The sequence below is a fragment of the Homo sapiens genome, chromosome 12 (assembly GCF_000001405.40).
Source record: "Homo sapiens chromosome 12, GRCh38.p14 Primary Assembly".
Classification (NCBI taxonomy): Eukaryota; Metazoa; Chordata; class Mammalia; order Primates; family Hominidae; genus Homo; species Homo sapiens.
This window is the reverse complement of record NC_000012.12, coordinates 23,456,120-23,476,134: the sequence shown is the minus strand read 5'-3', so window position 1 is coordinate 23,476,134 and position 20,015 is coordinate 23,456,120. Positions and strand designations below refer to the sequence as shown.

At 38.9% G+C, this 20,015-nt stretch overlaps 2 annotated features.

Annotated features, from left to right (window-relative positions):
* Nucleotides 632-1,206: an enhancer, noted in NCBI's record as "H3K4me1 hESC enhancer chr12:23627863-23628437 (GRCh37/hg19 assembly coordinates)". NCBI's record gives its function as "activates a minimal SCP1, AML or CMV promoter by ChIP-STARR-seq in primed H9 embryonic stem cells {active_cell/tissue: H9 hESC(primed)}" and the evidence as "EXISTENCE:reporter gene assay evidence [ECO:0000049][PMID:30033119]".
* Nucleotides 1,207-1,781: an enhancer, noted in NCBI's record as "H3K4me1 hESC enhancer chr12:23627288-23627862 (GRCh37/hg19 assembly coordinates)". NCBI's record gives its function as "activates a minimal SCP1, AML or CMV promoter by ChIP-STARR-seq in primed H9 embryonic stem cells {active_cell/tissue: H9 hESC(primed)}" and the evidence as "EXISTENCE:reporter gene assay evidence [ECO:0000049][PMID:30033119]".

Sequence of the window (20,015 nt, the reverse complement as noted above, 5' to 3'; positions counted from 1 at the left end):
GTTTTTGTTTGAATTTTTTTTTTTTTTTTTTTTTTTTAAGAATGCTGAATATAGGCCTGTAATCTCTTCTGGCTTGGAGGGTTTCTGCTGAAAGCTCTTCTGTTAGCCTGATGGGGTTCCCTTTGTAGGTGACCCACCCATTCTCTCTAGCTGCTTTTAATATTTTTTCTTTCTGAGTGAACTTGGAAAATCTGATGGCTATGTGTCTTGGGGATGGTCTTCTTATGCAGTATCTCATAGGGGTTCTTTGCATTTCCTGAATTTGAATGTCAACCTCTCTAGCAAGGTTGGGGACATTTTCATGGACGATATCCTCAAATGTTTTCCATGTTGCTCTCTACCCTTTCTCTCTCTTTCAGGGCCACCAATGAGTCATAAGCTTTAGTCTCCTTAGATAATCCCTTATTTCTTGGTGGTTTTGCTCTTTCTTTTTTATTCTGTTCTCTTTATTTTTATGTGACTGTGTTAATTTGAAGAACTGGTCTTTAAGCTCTGAAATTTTTTTCCTCAGTTTGGCCTATTCTGCTGTTAATACTTGCAATTGTATTATGAAGTTCTTGTAGTCAGTTTTTCAGCTCTATGAGATCAGTTAGGTTCTTTCTTAAAATGGCTATTTCATCTTCAAGCTCCTGTATTGGTTTGTTGGATTTCTTAGATTCTTTTGGATTGGGTTTAGACTTTCTCCTGAATCTCAGTGATCTTTATTCAATTTGGATCCTGAATCCTATGTCTGTCATTTCGGCCATTTCAGCCTGTTTAAGGATAATTGCTGGGGAGCTAGGGCAGTTGTTTGGAGGTAAAAAGATACTCTGGAATTTTGAGTTGCCAGGGTTTTTTGCTTTTATATTCTTTTATGCCCTTGGGGGTTTAACTATGGTAAAAGTTGGGTTTACCAGCTGCATTTCTGGAAAATTTTAGAGGCCCAAGTCTCAGCTCAGCACTTCTGGGCTGCATGCTCTAACCCTGGGGGACTGATACCAGGCCCAAGGCTTTGTTTTCTGGCCCTTCATGGTTAAGCACCTGCTGTGCTGGAGGGGCTGAGGTGCTACTGGTCTGCTGGCAACAACAGTCTGCTGGAGGGTGTGGGCCAAAGTGCTTCGTCAGGGTGCCGGCAGTTGGGTCTGTGCTTGCACTTACGTGCCAACTGTGGTGGTGTGCAGTGGGATGCATGCGTGTTGATGAGGGTGGGGCATAAGCAGGGGTGAGGCAGGGGTGTCCACACACATGTGCATACATCAGCAGAGTGGCAGTGATGTAGGTTGCATGAGTGTGCCAGTGGAGGCATGGCTGTGGCGTCAGTATGTGTGGCTATGCCATCAGCAGTTGCTGCGTGGTGGAGTGTGCACATGTCATCAGGGCCAGGATGCTGGTGGGGCTGAGGTGGCGCCCTCCACATGGGGGTGGGTGGCAGTCTCTGTGTGCATAGGTGTGCCAGCAGTGACAGTGTGCCAAGGTGCACATGTGCTGGTGGGCCCAGGACAGCATGTCCACACAAGTAAGTGCTGGCAGTGGCAGCAGTGTGGCAGCATGTGTGCGTGTCAGTGGGAGGTAGAGCTCAGGGTGCAGGTGCATGCTGGTGGGGGCAAGATAGCTGTGTCCACAAGCTTGCACTGGCAGAAATTTTCTTGAATTTTTCCTCAAATATGTTTTCTAGTTTGTTTGCCTTTTGTCATTCTCTCTCATAAATGCCAATCATTCATAGGTTTCATCACTTTACATAATCCTATATTTCTCAAAGGTTTGTTCACTAAAAAAATTTATTTTTCTTTATTTTTGTCTGGCTCAGTTAGTTCAAAAGACTGTTTTTCAAGCTCTGAATTTTTTTGTTTTTGTTTTTGTTTTTTTTTTGAGCCAGAGCCTCACTTTGTTGCCCAGGCTGGAGTGCAGTGGTACAATCTTGGTTCTGGCTCACTGCAAGCTCTGCCTTCTGGGTTCACACAATTCTTGTGCCTCAGCCTCCTGAATAGCTGGGATCATACGACCACACTCCACTAATTTTTGTGTTTTTAGTAGAGATGGGATTTCGCCATGTTGGCCAGGCTGGTCTTGAACTCCTGACCTCAGGTAGTCCACCCACCTTGGCCTCCCAAAGTACTGGGATTACAGGCGTGAGCCACTGTGCCTGGCCTGAAATTTTTTATTCTGCTTGGTCCAGTGTATTGATAAAGGTTTTGATTGTATTTTTGAAATTCCTTGAGTTTTTTTGTGTCTTTTTTTTTTTTTTAATTTCAGAAGCTCTGATTGATTTCTTTTAAGTTGTTTATCTCTTCGTTCATTTCCTGTATTGCTTTAGATGTTTTTGTGTGTTGATTTTCAACCTTGTCTTGGATTTCATTGTACTTTCTAGCAATCCATGAATTGAAATCTTTATCTGTCATTTCTGAATTTCCATTTTAGTTAGGAACCAGTGCTAGAGAGCTAGTGCAATCATTTATTGGTTTCATTATGTTTATATTTTTCATGGTGCCTGAATTTTTGCACTGGTTTCTTATCATCTGAAGATGCTGGCACTTCCAATTTTTGTAATTATTTTTGTGCAGGTAGGACTTTTTTGTTCTCGTTCTCTATAATATTGCGGGGTTTTGTTTTTCTTTTTCCCATTTTTTCTTTCCTGCCTTCATAGGGGGTACAACTGAAGGAATGCTGGGTAGGGTCTTTTGGTTTTGCTCTTATAGCCCTATGCACTTTTTTCAGTAGGTTTCATATTGGGCTGTGAAGTTTGACATACAAATCTGTAGTTGATAGCCAGCACTAGGTAAGAGTGGGCTATAGCCAATGCGGCTGTGTTTATACTTAATCCTTGTTTACCTGGCAGTAGCTCTCTGTTGCCTCAGGCAATGGACTGATTTCTGGAATGTGCAGTGGTCTGAGCTCCCTTCTGACCCCTGGGGAGCCAGGAACCATGAAGCGCAGGGCTAGACTAGGCAGGTCGACCTACAGGTCCACTGATGGCAGACATATGCACCAGCAATGAAGGAGTATCCCGTGGGTGACCATCAAGTGCCCAGAGGTTTGCCTAGGCATGCAAATGGGAAACCTCCTCATCCCCAAGTTCTCTGTAAAGGGGCTGCTGTCTGTTCTCTGTCGTAAACTCCTAATCCAAGAGAGTGGGTGCTCCAGATAGCTGGAGATCTGCCTGGGCATGGAGCAGAGAGGGCTGCCCTACACCAGGAGCTCTGCATAAGAGGGTGGGGTGACTCAGGCTGTTGATCCAGGTGATCTGGTGCTCTGAATGCCTGGAGATCTGCCTGGGTGTGGAGGAAAAAGGGCTCCCCTACACCACAATCTATGTCCAGGAGTGGTGGAGTGACTCAGGCTCTTGAAGCAGACGAGTAGGTGCTCCGAATGCCTGGAGATTTGCCTGGGCGTGAAGCAGAAAAGGCCTCCCTGCACCAGGATCTCTGCACAGGAAGGGTGAGATGAATCAGGTTGCTGATCCAGGTGCTCAAGTGCTCTAATTACCTGGAGATCTTCCTGGGTGTGGAGCGGAGGCACCCCAATCCCCCTTCATCATGATCTATGTCCAGGAAGGGTGGGGCAGCTGAGGCTGCTGTCCAGGCAAGCAGGTAATTCAAATACCTAGATTTCTGCCTGGGGCTGGAGTGAAGTGGGCCTAGCTGCACCACAATATCAGGGCGGGGCAGGGGAGGGCACCTAGTTGTGGCACATGCAGATTAGTTCCATGTTGTTCAGCTGGCCCTGGCTGCAAGTCTCTCCACCCAGCAGAAACTTCAGCTGTAGCAGCTCTACTGCCACCCCAGGCTTGTGACAGGAAAGACTGCAATTCAGCAGTGACTGCTGAGGTGCTTTTTACAGTTCTGGCTGTGAAGGTTCCTACCCTACCCCAGAACAGGTGTTCCAGTGTCTGGCCCAACGCTAAAATACCTGCACAGCCACGCTGCCAAGTTGTCAAAGAATGGCTGACTTTGCATGCATCTGGATTAAAAATGGTATCTTGCTCTTGGTCCTGGGTCTGGGAAAATGTCTGCAACTTTTCTTGATTTCTTTCTCTCACAGCATCTCCAAGCTTCTCCCCATGTTATCTCCAGTGCTTGGGAGTAACAAAGGTCTGGGTTGTTTGGGTCCCCAGTGGAAAGGAGAGTGACAGAGGGAGGTTCTTTGCCTTTTTCACTTACTGGGGCTTCACTCACTTTTATCAGCTGTATGCCATCACAACGGCTGTTTGCCGGCAATTCTCCTCTCTGGGATCTGGGGTGTCCTTCACAATTCCAGTGGACTCTCATTTTCCTTCTTGAAATAAAGCACACAGAGTTGATCTTTATGTACTATCTTGCTATTTCCAAGTGGCTGAGGCACACTAAAAGCCTCTAGTCTGCCATCTTGGGGGAAAAAACTCTTATTGATTTTAGCATGTACTTTTAGCGTGTCTCATTTCTGGCTTAAAACATTCTTACCTCCCTTTTTCCCCTTCAGTCACTTCACTTTTATTTGCACTATAATATTAAACTATATATATCTTTGTAAATCATTTTAAATTAAATAAAGATTGGATACCTAAACATATATACAAACATCCTCAATTACCATGTTAGGTCATAGGCAGATTTATATGTTCCAGATATTACCAATCTTCTAATAACATTTCCCAAAATATGTTGGGCAGAGTATTAAATGGGCCTTCTAAATATAGAGTTCTGAGATTTTAAAACTTGGGAAAGTATCTGATTAAACAAAATCCAACAATTTCTTCACTACAGTTCTTTTCAGAGCCTTTACATGCTATGATGAGCTATATACAGTCAGGGACACAGAGGACAGCATTATTCAAACTTAGTTTTTGCTTTTTCAGAATTTTATTGAAAAACATGGATTGTTTGAGAATAACTGAATGCATACTTCTTCTCATTTCCTTTCCAAGAGTGATATGAGAGTGAGCACCTGGGTCACTGTTGGTCAGGGATTTCACAGAATATAAAAACCAGGCTCACTGTGCTTAGGAAAGTCCTGCCATGGGGAAAGGGCCTACATCAAACCATGTCCATTGTCTCCTCAAAATATTTACCAGATTTTGAGGTTGCAGAGTGCAATGCTAGAGAGCTGGGCTAGGAAATTGAATGACAGAACTAAATTTCCTCAAATACTTTATAATGAATGAGATAAAGGTCCATCATCCTCTAAATCAAAAGCCCAAGAAAGCCATGCCCTCAAAACAGGGGGACACCCAAGATAGATTCAGTTTTACCAAAATGGCAATGCTGCCAGGTCCAGCTGAATCCCTGATTGAGGTAATCAGCCTCTCACTCTATTTGTTTAAAAGAAAAAAAGGGTAATATCTCTGGACAAAATAACATTTCTATGTTTATTTTATAGATAATGACAAAATTGAATAAAAATTCACTAAACAGGCCAGGCCTGGTGGCTCACACCTGTGATCCCAGCACTTTGGGAGGCTGAGGCAGGTGAATCACCTGAGGTCAGGAGTTCGAGACAGGCCTGGCTAACATGGTGAAACCCAGCTCTACTAAAAATAGAAAAATTAGCCAGGCATGGTTACAGGTGCCTATAGTCCTAGCTACTTGGGTGGCTGAGACAGGAGAATTGCTTGCACCTGGGAGGTGGAGGTTGCAGTGAGCCGAGATTGCCACTGCACTCCAGCCTGGGCGACAGAGAGATTCCGTCCCAAAAAAAAAAAATTACTAAACATTACAAGAGAAAACAGTAATAAAAACAACAAAATGATGAGTAAGAGAAAACACAGACAACAAATGATTAAATTATTAAAATCTGCACTTTAAAAAAATTTTTTACTTAAAGTGCCAGGACACATGTGCAGAACGTGCAGGTTTGTTACATAGGTATACGTGTGCCATGGTGGTTTGCTGCACCTATTGACCCACCCTCTAAGTTCCCTCCCCTCACCCCCCGTCCTCCCAACAGGCCCCGGTGTGTGTTGTTCCCCTCCCTGTGTCCATGTGTTCTCATTGTTCAACACCCACTTATGAGTGAAAAGGTGGGGTTTGGTTTTCTGTTCTTGTGTTAGTTTGCTGAGGATGATGGCTTCCAGCTTCATCCATGTCTCTGCAAAGGACATGATCTCATTCTTTTTTATGGCTGCATAGTATTCCATGGTGTATAGGTACCACATTTTCTTTATCCAGTCTATCATTGATGGGCATATGGGTTGGTTCCATGTCTTTGCTATTGTAAATAGTGCTGCAATAAACATATGTATGCATGTGTTTTTATAGTGGAATGATTTAACTTCGTTTGGGTATATACCCAGTAATGGAATTGCTGGGTCAGATGGTATTTCTAGATCTAGAACTATCTAGATCCTTGAATAATCGCCATACTGTATTCCACAATGGTTGAACTAATTTACATTCCCATCAACAGTGTGGAAGTGTTCCTATTTCTCCACAGCCTCACCAGCATCTATTGTTTCCTGACTTTTCAATAATTGCCATTCTGACTGGCATAAGACGGTATCTCATTGTAGTTTTGATTTGCATTTCTCTGATGATCAGTGATGTTGAGCTTTTTTTCATATGTTTGTTGGCTGCATAAATGTCTTCTTTTGAGAAGTGCCTGTTCATATCCTTTGCCTACTTATTGATGGGATTGTTTGCTTTTTTTCTTGTAAATTTTTTAAGTTCCTTGTAAATTCTGGATATTAGACCTTTGTCAGATGGGTAGATTGCAAAAATTTTCTCCCCTTCTGTAAGTTGCTTGTTCACTCTGATGACAGTTTCTTTTGCTGTGCAGAAGCTCTTTAGTTTAATTATATCTCATTTGTCAATTCTGGCTTTTGTTGCAATTGCTTTTGGCATTTTTGTCTTGAAGTCTTTGACCATGCCTATGTCTTGAATGGTATTGCCTAGTTTTCTTCTAGGGTTTTTTTATGGTTTCAGGTTATACATTTAAGTTTTTAATCCTTGAGTTAATTTTTGTATAAGGTGTAAGGAAGGGGTCCAGTTTCAGTTTTCTTTATATGGCTAGCCAGTTTTTCCAACATCACTTACTGAATACTTGCTCCTTTCCCCATTGCTTGTTTTTGTCTGGTTTGTCAAAGATCAGATGGTTGTAGATGTGTGGTGTTATTTCTGAGACCTCTGTTCTGCTCCATTGGTCCATATGTCTTTTTTGGTAGCAGTACCATGCTGTTTTGGTTACTGTAGCCTTGTAGTATAGTTTGAAGCCAGGTAGTGTGATGCCTCCAGTTTTGTTCTTTTTGCTTAGGGTTGTCTTGGCTATATGGGGTCTTTGATTCCATATGAAATTTAAAATAGTTTTTTTCTAATTCTGTGAAGAATGTTAATGGTAGTTTGATGGGAATAGCATTGAATCTTTGAATTACTTTGGGCAGTATGGCCATTTTCCTGACATTGATTCTTCCTATACATGAGGATGGAATGTTTTTCCATTTGTTTGTGTTGTGTCTTATTTCCTTGAGTGGTGATTTGTAATTCTCCTTGAAGAGGTCCTTCACATCCCTTGTTAGCTGTATTATTAGGTGTTTTATTCTCTTTGTAGCGATGGCGAATGGGAATTCATTCATGATTTGGCTCTATGTTTGCCTATTATTGGTGTAAAGGAATGCTTGTGATTTTTGCACATTGATTTTGTATCCTGAGACTCATCTGAAGTCATTTATCAGTTCAAGAAGTTTCTCGGCTGAGATGATGGGGTTTTGTAAGTATAAAATCATGTTCTCTGCAAACAGAGACAACTTCACTTCCTCTCTTCCTATTTGAATAATCTTTATTTCTTTCTCTTGCCTGATTCCCCTGGCCAGAACTTCCAGTTCTATGTTGAATAGGAACGGTGAGAGAGGGCATCCTTGTCTTGTACTGGTTTTCGAAGGGAATGCTTCCAGCTTTAGCCCATTCAGTATGATTGGCTGTGGGTTTGTCATAAATAGCTCTTATTATTTTAAGATGTGTTCCATCAATACCTAGTTTATTGAGAGTTTTTAACATGAAGAGATGTTGAATTTTATCAAAGGCCTTTTCTGTATCTATTGAGATAATCATGTGGTTTTTGTCTTTGGTTCTGTTTATGTGATGAATTACGTTTATTGATTTATGTATGTTGAATGAGGCTTGCATCCCATGGATGAAGCTGACTTGATTGTGGTGTATACGTTTTTTGATGTGCTGCTTAATTTGGTTTGCCAGTGTTTTGTTGAGGATTTCCATGTTGATGTTCAGAGATATTGGCCGGAAGGTTTTTTTGTTGTTGTGTCTCATTCTGGTTTTGGTATCATGATGATGCTCACCTCATAAAATGAGGTACAGATGCATCCCTCCTTTTCAATGTTTGCAATATTTTCGGAAGGAATGGTACTACCTCCTCTTTGTATTTCTGATAAAATTCAGCAGTGAATCCCTCTGATTTTGGTTGGTAGGCTATTAATTACTGCCTTAATTTCAGAGCTTGTTATTGGCCTATTCAGGGATTCAACTTTTTTCTGGTTTAGTCTTGGTAGGGTGTATGTGTCCAGGAATTTATCCATTTCTTCTAGATTTTCTGGTTTATTTGCATAGAGGTGTTTATAGTATTTTCTAATGGTAGTTTGTATTTTTGTGAGGTCAGTGGTGGTATCTCCTTTATCATTTTTTATTGTGTCTTTTTGATTCTTCTCTCTTTTATTCTTTATTAGTCTGGCTAGCAGTCTATCTATTTTGTTATTTTTTTTAAAAAAAACAGCTCCTGGATTCATTGATTTTTTTGGAGGGTTTCTTTGTGTCTCTATCTCCTTCAGTTCTTCTCTGATCTTAGTTATTTCTTGTCTTCTGCTAGTTTTTGAATTAGTTTGCCCTTGCCTCACTAGCTCTTATAATTATGGTGTTAGGGTGTTGATTTGAGATCTTTCTAGCTTTCTGGTGTGGGCATTTAGTGCTACAAATTTCCCTCTTAACACTGCTTTAGCTGTGTCCCAGAGATTCTGGTATGTTGTCTCTTTGTTCTCATTGGTTTCAAAGAACTTCTTGATAGCTGCCTTAATTTCATTATTTACCCAGGAGTCACTCGGGAGCAGGTTGTTCAATTTCCATGAAATTGTGTGGTTTTGGTGAGTTGAGTGAGTTTCTTAATCCTTAGTTCTAATTTGATTGCACTGTGGTCTGAGAGATTATTTGTCATGATTTCAGTTATTTTGCATTTGCTCAGGAGTGTTTTACTTCCAATTATGTGGTCTATTTTAGAATAAGTGTCATGTGGCACTGAGAAGAATGTATATTCTGTTGATTTGGGGTAGAGAGTTCTGTAGACATCTAGTAGGTCCACTTGATCCAGATCTGAATTCAAGTCCTGAATATTCTTGTTAATTTTCTGTCTCATTGATCTAATACTGACAGTGAGGTGTTAAAGTCTCCCACTATTATTGTGTGGTAGTCTAAGTCTCTTTGTAGGGCTCTAAGAACTAGTTTTATGAATCTGGGTGCTCCTGTATTGGGTGCATATATATACAGAATAGTTAGCTCTGCTTGTTAAATTGCTCCCTTTATCATTATGTTGGGCCCTTCTTTGTCTTTTTTGATCTTTGTTGGTTTAAAGTCTGTTTTGTCAGAGACTAGGATGGCAACCCCTGCTGTTTTTTGCTTTCCATTTGCTTGGTAAATTTTCCTCCATCCCTTTATTTTGAACCTGTGTGTGTCTTTGCACGTGAGATGGGTCTCTTGAATACAGCACACTGATGGGTCTTGACTCCTTATTCAATTTGCCAGTCTGTGTCTTTTAATTGGGGGCATTTAGCCCATTTACATTTAAGGTCAGTATTGTTATGTGGAAGTTTAATCCTGTCATCATGATGCTATTTGGTTATTTTGCACAACGGTTGATGCAGTTTCTTCATGGTGTCATTGGCTTTTATATTTTGCTGTGTTTTTGCAGGGCTGATAACAGTTTTTCCTTTCCATATTTAGTACTTCTTTCAGGAGCTCTTGCAGGACAGGCCTGGTGGTAACAAAATCCCTCAGCATTTGCTTGTCTGGAAAGGATTTTATTTTTCCTTTGCTTATGAAGCTTAGTTTGGCTGGATATGAAATTCTGGGTTGGAAATGATTTTCTTTAAGAATGTTGAATACTGGCCCCCAATCTCTCCTGGCTTGTAGAGTTTCTGCTGAGAGGTTTGTTGTTAGTCTGATGGGCTTCCCTTTGTATGTGACCTGGCGTTTCTCTCTGGCTGCCCTTAACAGTTTTTCCTTGATTTCACCCTTGGAGAATCTGATGATTATATGTCTTGGGTTTGATCTTCTCATTGAGTATCTTAATGATATTCTTTTATTTCCTGAATTTGCATGTTGGCCTGTCTTGCTAGGTTGGGGAAGTTCTCCTGGATACTATCCTGAAGTGTGTTTTCCAGCTCGTTTCCATTCCCCTGTCTCCTTCCAGTACTCCAATCAATCATAGGTTGAGTCTTTTTATAAAGTCCCATATTTTGTGGAGGTTTTGTTCATTCCTTTTTATTCTTTTTTCTCTATTCTTGTCTGCATGTCTTATTTCAGTAAGGTGGTCTTCAAACTCTGATACCCTGTCTTCTGCTTCATCAATTTGGCGGTTGATACTTGTGTATGCTTCACCAAGTTCTTGTGCTGTGTTTTTCACCTCTTTCAGGTCATTTATATTCCTCTCTAAACTGATTGTTCTAGTTAGCACTTTCTTCTAACCTCTTATCAAAGTTCTTAGCTTCTTTGCTTTGGGTTAGAACATGCTCCTTTAGCTCGTCAGAGGTAGTTTTTTGTAACCCTCTTCTGAAGCCTACTTCTGTCAATTTGTCCATCTGATCCTCTGGTTCTTTGCCCTTGATGGAGAGATGTGATCATTTGGAGGAGAAGAAGCACTCTGGCCTTCTGGGTTTTCACCATTTTTCCATTGATTCTTTCTCATCTTTGTGAATTTGTCTAGTTTCTGTCTTTGAGGTTACTGACCCTTGGATGGGGTTTTTGTGGGGACCTTTTTGTTGTTGTTGTTGTTGTTGATGCTGTTGTTGTCACTTTCTGCTTGTTTTTCTTTCGATAGTCAGGTCCATCTTCTGTAAGGTTGCTGTAGTTTTCTGGGGGTTCACTTCAGTCCCTATTCATCTGATTTGCTCCTGTGCCTGGAGATGTCACTCAGGGAGGCTGGAGACCAGCAAAGATGGATGCTTGCTTCTTCTTGTGGGACCTCTGACCTCAAGGGGCACCAACCTGATGCCAGTAGGATTACTCCTATATAGGGTGTTTGACAACCCCTGTTGCAGGGCCTCACCCAGTTGGGTGGCACAGGGAACAGGACCCATTTAATGAAGTACTTTGTCCCTTGGTGGAGACGGTGTGTTTTGCTGGGGGGAAACCCACTCATCTGGGCTGCCCAGATTCCTCAGAACTACCAGGAGGAGAGGCTAGGGCTGCTGGTCCACAGAGACTGTGGCTACCCCTCCCACTAGGGACTCAGGCTCAGGGAGATCTGAATTCTGTCCTGGCTGGAGTTATTGGAGATCCTGTAGGGAAGCCCCGCCCAATAAGGAAGGATGGGTCAGAGTTAGACCTGAAGAGCCACCCTGGCTGCAGACGGCCAAAGCCGGTGTGTTGGGCTGTGGGGACAAGTCTTGGGACAAAGCCATCCAGCCTCCCTGCCTCCAGCAGGGGAAAATTGCAGCCTGGAGCTATAGAAGTTGGTGCTGCCCTTCCCCCCATTTAGGGAGCTTAGTGTATTAGGCAGTTGCCAGTCCCATTGCTGACTGCTGCCCCTCCCACAAGGAGTTCAAAAGCTTAGACAGCAGGCAGTCCAGGCAGTGCTGGTCACCCCTCCCCCCAGGAGTTCACTGGGCTTAAGCAGATTCCAGCTGAGAGGCTACAAGAATCTCCAGGTTCCCAGTTTGGGGTGCTAGTACCCAGTGGCTTGGGTTCGCAACTGGGATCTTCTGATCCATGGCTTGCATAGTTCCATGGAAAAAACACAGTTTCCCTGGCTGGGTAGTGTGCTCACTCACCGCCTCCCTTGGCTGGGGGGAGGGGGTTCCCCTTTCCCATGTGACTCTCAGGTGGGCCGCCACATCACACTGCTCTTCCTTGTGTCCATGGGTCACACCAGCCTTCTAGTCAATTCTGATGACAGAACCTGGATACCTTGGTTGCTGGTGAAGGATTCACATGCTTATTATGTTTTTTTTTGTTGGTTTTTTTTTGTTTTTTTGCTGGGAGTCTCCAAAGGGCACTCCTTCTAGTTAGCCATCTTGGCCCCACTCTCATTTTAGCCATTTTAAATTGTGCAGTTCAGTGGTGTTAAGTACATTCACATTGTTACACAACCATCATCACCATTCATCTCCAAAACATTTTTCATCTGGCAAAACTGAAACTCTGCACCTATTAAGCAATAACTCCCCATTTCCAGCTCTCCTCAAATTCGGTCAGCTACCACTCTACTTTCTGTCTCTATGAATTCAACCCCTCTAAGTCCTCATATAAGTGAAATCATACAATATTTGTCCTTTCATGACAGGCTTATTTCACTTATAATGTTTTAAAGGGTGAATGTTAATGGTACATCGATTATATCTCAATAAAGAAAAACAAATGAGCATAAGAGATATGTTGGACATCCTTAATAGTTCTAATGTATATATAATTGAAGATTCAGGAGAAGGAGAGTGGTGCAGAAACATAATTTATGGGGATAAAGAACACATCAACTGACAGATTTCAGAATCGCAGAGAGCCCCAGTTCAGAATAAACACAAAGAAAACCCTATGCACAATGGAGTAAAACTTCTGTAAAGCAAAGATTAGGAGAAACTCTAAACAAATCACATTAACTTCAAAGTAGCAATAAGACTGACAGCTGATTTTTCAGCAGAAATAATAAAAATCAGAGGACAATAGGGTGATATTTTTAAGAGCTGTGAAGGCTGTTTAATAACTATTTTTAAAATGAAAATGAAATAAATATATTTTCAAACAAACACAGAAAATGGTCAACAGCAGACTTAAAATGTAAAAACTAAAAACAAAATTAAACAAACAAAAACTAGAACCCTTCAGGAACAATAAAATTGATCCCAGATAGATACATTGAAATGCAGGAAGGATTGGATGAAAACTAGATGAGATAAGTATGTGGATAATTAGAAATGGATATTGGCTGTTCCAAACAACAGTAATAACATCTTATAGTATTTAAAAAGGTATGCACTGCTAAAATGCAAGAGAATAAAAATACAAAAAATAGGAGGGGATCAACAGACAAAAAAAGTTAGAAGGTTCTACATGTTTAGTAAAGTGGTAAAAGTAGTAATTTTAATTATTTCCATTCAAACCATAAATGTGTGTTGTAATCTCTATGATAATCAGGAAACGTATAGCTAACAATAAGTAGTCTAAATTACAAATTAGAATGTATAACTTACAAGTTAATAGATGCAAATAATGAATACACATTTTTTGTCAAGTAATCAAAAAAGAAGAATGAATGAACAAGAAATACAGGTGGCGTATCCCTTACCTAAAATGCTTGGAACCAGAAGTATTTTGATTTTTTCAGGTTCTAGAACATTTGCATTATACTTACTGGTGCAGTATCCCAAATCCGAAATCTTAAATGCCCCAGTGAACATTTCCTTTGCATATTTTAATGTTAGCTCTCAAAAAGTTTCAGATTTTGGGACATTTTGATTTTCAGATTTTTGGATTAGGGATACTCAATCTATAATATAAAAGAGATGTAGGAAATTATATTAAATATAAGTATATACACCAAGTAAAATAGGAAACATCTTAACTGACTGATATTAGAGAGGATTGTACTCAGAATTTCAGAATACTGAGGAAAATAAAGGAATTAGAGAGACTCAAGGGAAAATGGAGATACTGGGAAAGTCTGAGAGGTACTTTAGCAAATGACATGGGTCAGTACTCATACATACTTACTCTCTCAATAGTACATATAGATGAATAAACTTATACTCATCCAAAAATATCAAGCCTCAATTAAACATCGAAAAATAGTAAGTTTGGCGGGGGAGTTTAATATTTAAATACTTACAGTCTTATCTATCAGTTATTTAAATTATGTTTATTTGACATTAATTTTAGTGATAATGATAATGATAGTTTTTTAGTGATAATGATAATGATAGTTTTTTGTTTTATCAAATATCAATATTAGGTAAATATAATTTTCATGTGTTCTTATATGGGTGTGTATGTATATATATGTATATACAATTACATATAATATATACAACTTACAATAAATATTTTTATAAATATAGTTATATATAACAACAGTTTAGTTTATTAATATTAACCAATATATTATCATAAGATTCCATATATTTATATATAGTGTACATATTAGAATATATATTATATAGTATATATTATATAATAAACATATGTATGCTCTACATTTACTATGTTATATATTCTAATATATACTATATACAAATGTATAGTATCACATATTGGTTAATAGTAATATATACTATATAATATATATTTATATGATATAGTAAATTTTTATTAGACTATATTATATATAAAACTCATAATATATTGGTTCATAATAATTATAAACTATGCTTTTATTATTATTATTTTTAGAGCACCTTTAATGAGATATAATTCACATACCATACAATTCACTGTTTCAAAGCATACAATTCAGTGGTTTTAAGTATAATGACAGGGTTGTGTAAGTAACATTACTACCTAATTTTTAAGCATGATTAGCACAGTCAAAAGAAGTCTTGTACCCATCAAAAGAATCTTTTCTTTCTCTCTTTAAGGAAAACTTCTGAAACTTTTAGTAGAACCCTATAACAGAAAAAGGATTTACTTTTTATTGCTATGGTCACTCTTTTATTTTAAATAATATGTATGTAGAGTGCAATGAAGCATCCTGATTAACCTATGATTTGGGAAATTCTCAAGAATTATCAGGAATTCAGACTTCTCTTTCTCCAATGCTGAAGATTGCTGCCTGTTGGGAATATGGAAATCCTATCTAGAGTAAAGCAACATGGAGCAGAGCATCCAGTATACCTGAGATGCACATAAAGCAGGAGTCAGGGGAAAACTTTGTTGAGCCATTAAGATCTAAGTTTGCTTGTAACCAGATTAACTAAGCATTACAGTTAGATTGCATGAAAATATAAAACAATAGCTCAACTAACAAAACTGCAGTGGAGAAAGTGAGAGATAGCTCTTATTAGCTGAGAAAGGAAGAAATATAATATTGAAACATAAACTTTTTCATTATTATTTTTAAATACTGTATTAGCTAATGATTTCCACTGTAAGCATCAGAGGCCAACTAGATTAAGGAAAAAAAAAATGAATGGGTAAATGGAAAGATAATAGAGTCGGTTACAAAATCAAAGGAAATAAAGAAGAAGAACCAGAAGGACAGGAATTTAAAGAGCTTTGAGAAACTAGACAGTCAGAATTAATGAATAGTTTCTTAGGAGTGCCACACTCATATTGAACCAGCTTTGACTACTTTCTGTCTTAGTGGAAGATTCAAATATCTGGGAGAATGCATTGATTTGCCCTGACACCCTTACCCATTCTTTTTTCAGTAACTCTTGCAGATTCATTTCAATTAGTTTTCTTGAAAAATTTAAGTAATTTTCAGGAAAATTATATGTGTAGTACAAACTCATTATTAAAAACATAAAACCTTATTTACAGTAGAGAAACCTGACAAACACTACTATCTCAGGCAGGTGATCAGGGTCAATATCCACAGTGATAAATCATGTTGAGAGCATGCACCCTTGATATGATGTGATGAAAGTGGCACTTTACCTCAGTGTTCTTCTTCCTGAAAACCCATAACCCCCGTCGAATCATAAGAAAAATATCAGACAAGTCCCAGTACAGGATATTCTATAAAATACCTGATAAGTATTTCTCAAAACTGTCACGGTCATCAGAAAGAAAAAAAGTCTGAGAAACTGTCAAAACCAAGAGGAGCCGAAGAGACACAACACCTAAATGTAATGTGGTATCCTGAATGAGATCCTAAAACAGAAAAGGATGTTAAGAAAACACGAAGTAAATATGAATAAAGTATGGGCTTTGGCTAATAATAATGTAATGTATCAACATTGGTATTGTGATAAGTGTACCACACTAATCCGAGATGTTAATAATAGAGGAAACTGGGTGCAGGGTACATGGAAACTCTCTGCTCTGTCTTTACACATTTTTTGTAAATCTAAAAACATTCAAACAATGAAAGCTTATTTTTAAAAATCTTATTTCAGTCACTTTATCATCCTATCTATATCTCTCCATTGAGGATGTCTAAAAATGTGTTCACCAACTTCCTCTGTATTGATAATCCCCAAGTAGTTATTTTTAGTTCCGATTCTTCCCTGATACACACACACACACACACACACACACACACATTATATAAGCATGCATTTGCGTATGTATATATTGCTAAACAAACATCTTGATCTGGTCATCTTTTAGGCATATAAAACTCAATATATCTCTTGGTAAGAAATACTTATTGACGATGTTGTGATAATGTGCTGTAGGAGCATGCTTTTAATGTCCTATAATACTTTGTTTGATGAATGCCTACAGGGCAACTATTATATGGCAGGCACTGCTGTACATACCACAGACTTATAGGTGAAGAAGATATACACATGTCCTGTTGTTAAGGAGTTTAGGATATGCTGAGAGAGGCACATGTTAACAAATAATAGCACTATGAGCTCTGCAATAAAGCTAAATTTGTTTATGTGCTGTGCCTTGCACTTACCTTTATTGTAGCAGCTGTCACACTTTATCTCACTTATGAAGTCACATATTTATCATTCCAACTACACTTACTTATTGAGGATAGCAGATCCTCAATAAAAGTTTGTGGAAACATCTGGTCATCTGGTTCACTTCTCATTCGTTGAATGATTAAATGAATGAGAAGACTGGACTCATTTACGGATTCATGTTTATGACACCAAGGGATATATGGACAAGTAAAAAGCATACAGTCAGTTTTGATTCTATTCCAGGCTCCCTTTTGGCCTGATTCTGACTCTACTAGGTCTTAGTTTCTCCTTAGCAAAGGCTATGGTAACGAACTATTCCAGTTTGCCAAGGACTCTCCTTGTTTTAGCATTGAATGTTTGCATTCTCAAAATAATAATAATAATAATAATAATAATAATAATGATAATAAAAGCCAAGTCTTGAATAAACCTGGATGGTTGATTGCTCTAGAAAAGCCCTACAAAAATTCTGGAGCCTATTTCCCTTCTTTCTTATTCAAGAAGGTATAAAAAGAAATTTTGATTGCGTAGATGTTGATAAAAACCACTCACTCAGCATTTACTGTGTTGATCTCTTTGTGGGCTTCACCTTGTTTAACCCTCACAACAACACTATGAGGTAAAAATTATTATCATTGCCACTTCACAGATGATGAAAAAAGCACAGAATATTAAATCACGGAACTGAATTTCAAACCCAGGGTTGTCAAAAGCTTGCATTAAGCTCTTAGCCTTCATGTTTACATACAGTGAAATGGCAAGTCATGTTCTTACTGAGTTTTTTTCCAACACTCTGAAACTTCCAAGTCTACCCCAAGTCAACTACATTTTTAAAAAGTACCACCTCCCCCCTAAAAAAGTTGGTCCATGTAAACCCTGTATATCTGCCGTGAGAAGTTAGTTTTCTCAAAATAAATACATATAAGGTCTTTTTAGTCTGGTTGTACTGAATTAATCAATTTGGAGAAAAACTGAGCATTGCACTTCTATGGAGAATTTTTTGGTTTGCTTGTATGGCTTACAATTAGCTTACTTCTGTGAGATGTTTCTGGTTAGAGTTTCTCTCTCCAAGAATCTGACTTAAACATTTATAGTCCATCAGCTTCCATGGATTTTGGTGAGCTTTTTCAGACAGGTTAGTAATGTCAAGTTTGGCAAGTACTTTGGCTTTTCAGTCTGTTTTGTTTGAAAATCAATTTACACTCTTTGCAAACTTGTGACAGCATAAATCAGGCAACTGAGTTCACTATTAAAATAAAATGGGGACTTGTTTCATTTTGCTGAGGAGATGGGCAGAACACTTTCTACTAATTTCAAACATATTCCTGTCATACCATGGCAATTTGACAAACCTACTGTTCTACTGTTCTTAATTCACTAGATGAACAAAAACAGAAACAGAGGCAAGAGAGGTTAGATTATCTGTCCAGGGCAGCACACGGGAAGGCAGGAATGGAAGCAAATTAAGAACTCACAGGTCTTAAATACACCAGCCATTCTGGGCCGCTGAACGTCTCTCCCTTAGCACCCCTGATAGCTGATGTTCAGAAATGGTGGCCTCCATTATCCTAACTAACCTCTTCAGAAAGTCTTCTAATTGAGGTATCTTCTCATTGAAGATGGTGTGGAGAAAGTGGAGCCTTCAATCAAACCTCCAAAACAGTTCGGTGCCATAAAACTAATTTAAAATGGAATAGACTGGGCACGGTGGCTCTCGCCTGTAATCCCAGCACTTTGGGAGGCTGAGGGAGGCGGATCACGAGATCAGGGGTTCAAAACCAGCCTGACCAACATGATGAAACCCCGTGTCTACTAAAAATACAAAAAAATTAGCTGGGCATGGTGGCGTGTGCCTGTAATCCCAGCTACTCAGGAGGCTGAGGCAAAGAGAATTGCTTGAACCTGGGAGGCGGAGGTTGCAGTGAGCTGAGATGGTGTGCACTCCAGCCTGGGCGACAGACCATCTCAAAACAAACAAACAAACAATAAAATGGAATAAAGTGGAAAATAAAAGAGCTGGTTACAATTACACCATTTAGGCCTTAGATAGGAAGTAATTCTAGTGATTGAGAAACTACTGATGCAATGTGGCTTAAACGGGAAACAGGGCAAAATGGAGTTAAAGTGCAGCATTTTCCACATCTGTACTGGAAACGCTGATAGTAGACTTAAGAAAATAATTCACTATAGGAAACTAACAATCACAAAAAATATTTATCGTACTCTCCAGTTTTACATGCAAATTTTAACTTTGTGTCATCTCTGCTAAATACATACATTCTGAAACATTCAGCCATTTGCTTCTCAGTACTCTGATAAAAATGATTATTCTGACTTTTATTCCTCAGCTGCTTAGCTGGACTTCCCCAAAGTAGGCCTTGTGTTTTTCAACACAGTAGACTAAATTTCTGACAGTATTTAATAATTTACCCCATTCTCAAATATCTGGAAAATCTCATAAATTTTGTATGTAATACTTTTTCTTTCTATTTTGTTTGTGTTTCAAACTATCTGCATCCTCATCCTGCAGGATTGTAAGGTGAACTTCTCTATTGGGAAAACTACTTAACTTTGAGCTAAAGTAGAGGGCAACTTGGTCCAAAAACAGGATCAGCTGAGTGTGGACACTTACTTACTTACAGCATGATCCTAAATCACTGTGACTCTCTTCTCCAAAATGAAAACCATTGGCTTAAAAGAAGGTTAATCTAACATTCACGGCTACCCCAGTGACTGGCTGGTACTGACTCTCCTGCCTGTCCAAATCATTGTGAGAAACTGTAACTGAACTCATGTTATCTATAGGTCAATGTGGTGGCAGATATATGGTAGTGACCCCAATAAATTAGTAGAAATCAAAAGCATTCTAAATTAAAACAGATGAAATTTAATAAATTACAATGACGTTTAGTTTTCAGAACAATGCTTTCCCATTCTTGTAACCATTCAGAAAAGGGTTAATTTGTGTTCTCCTCTTCAGACCACAGCCTCATTCTAAGAGGCAGAGTAACTGAGACAGTGAGAGAAACTCAAAAGCAAGAAAATGTCTTTGTAATTTAACAAAAAGGTAAACCTGGAGTGGCATTGTTGGGGAACATTTTAAGATATTACCATGTTTTCTAAACTTGAAGTCCCATAGAACATTACCTAGATGTAGGGAATGTGTATAGATGGCCCCCAACTTACCAATGGTGTAACTTGATTTTTCACCTTTATGGAAGTTTATGTTTATGTTTAACTTTTTATTTATTTTATTTTATTTTATTTTATTTTTTTGAAA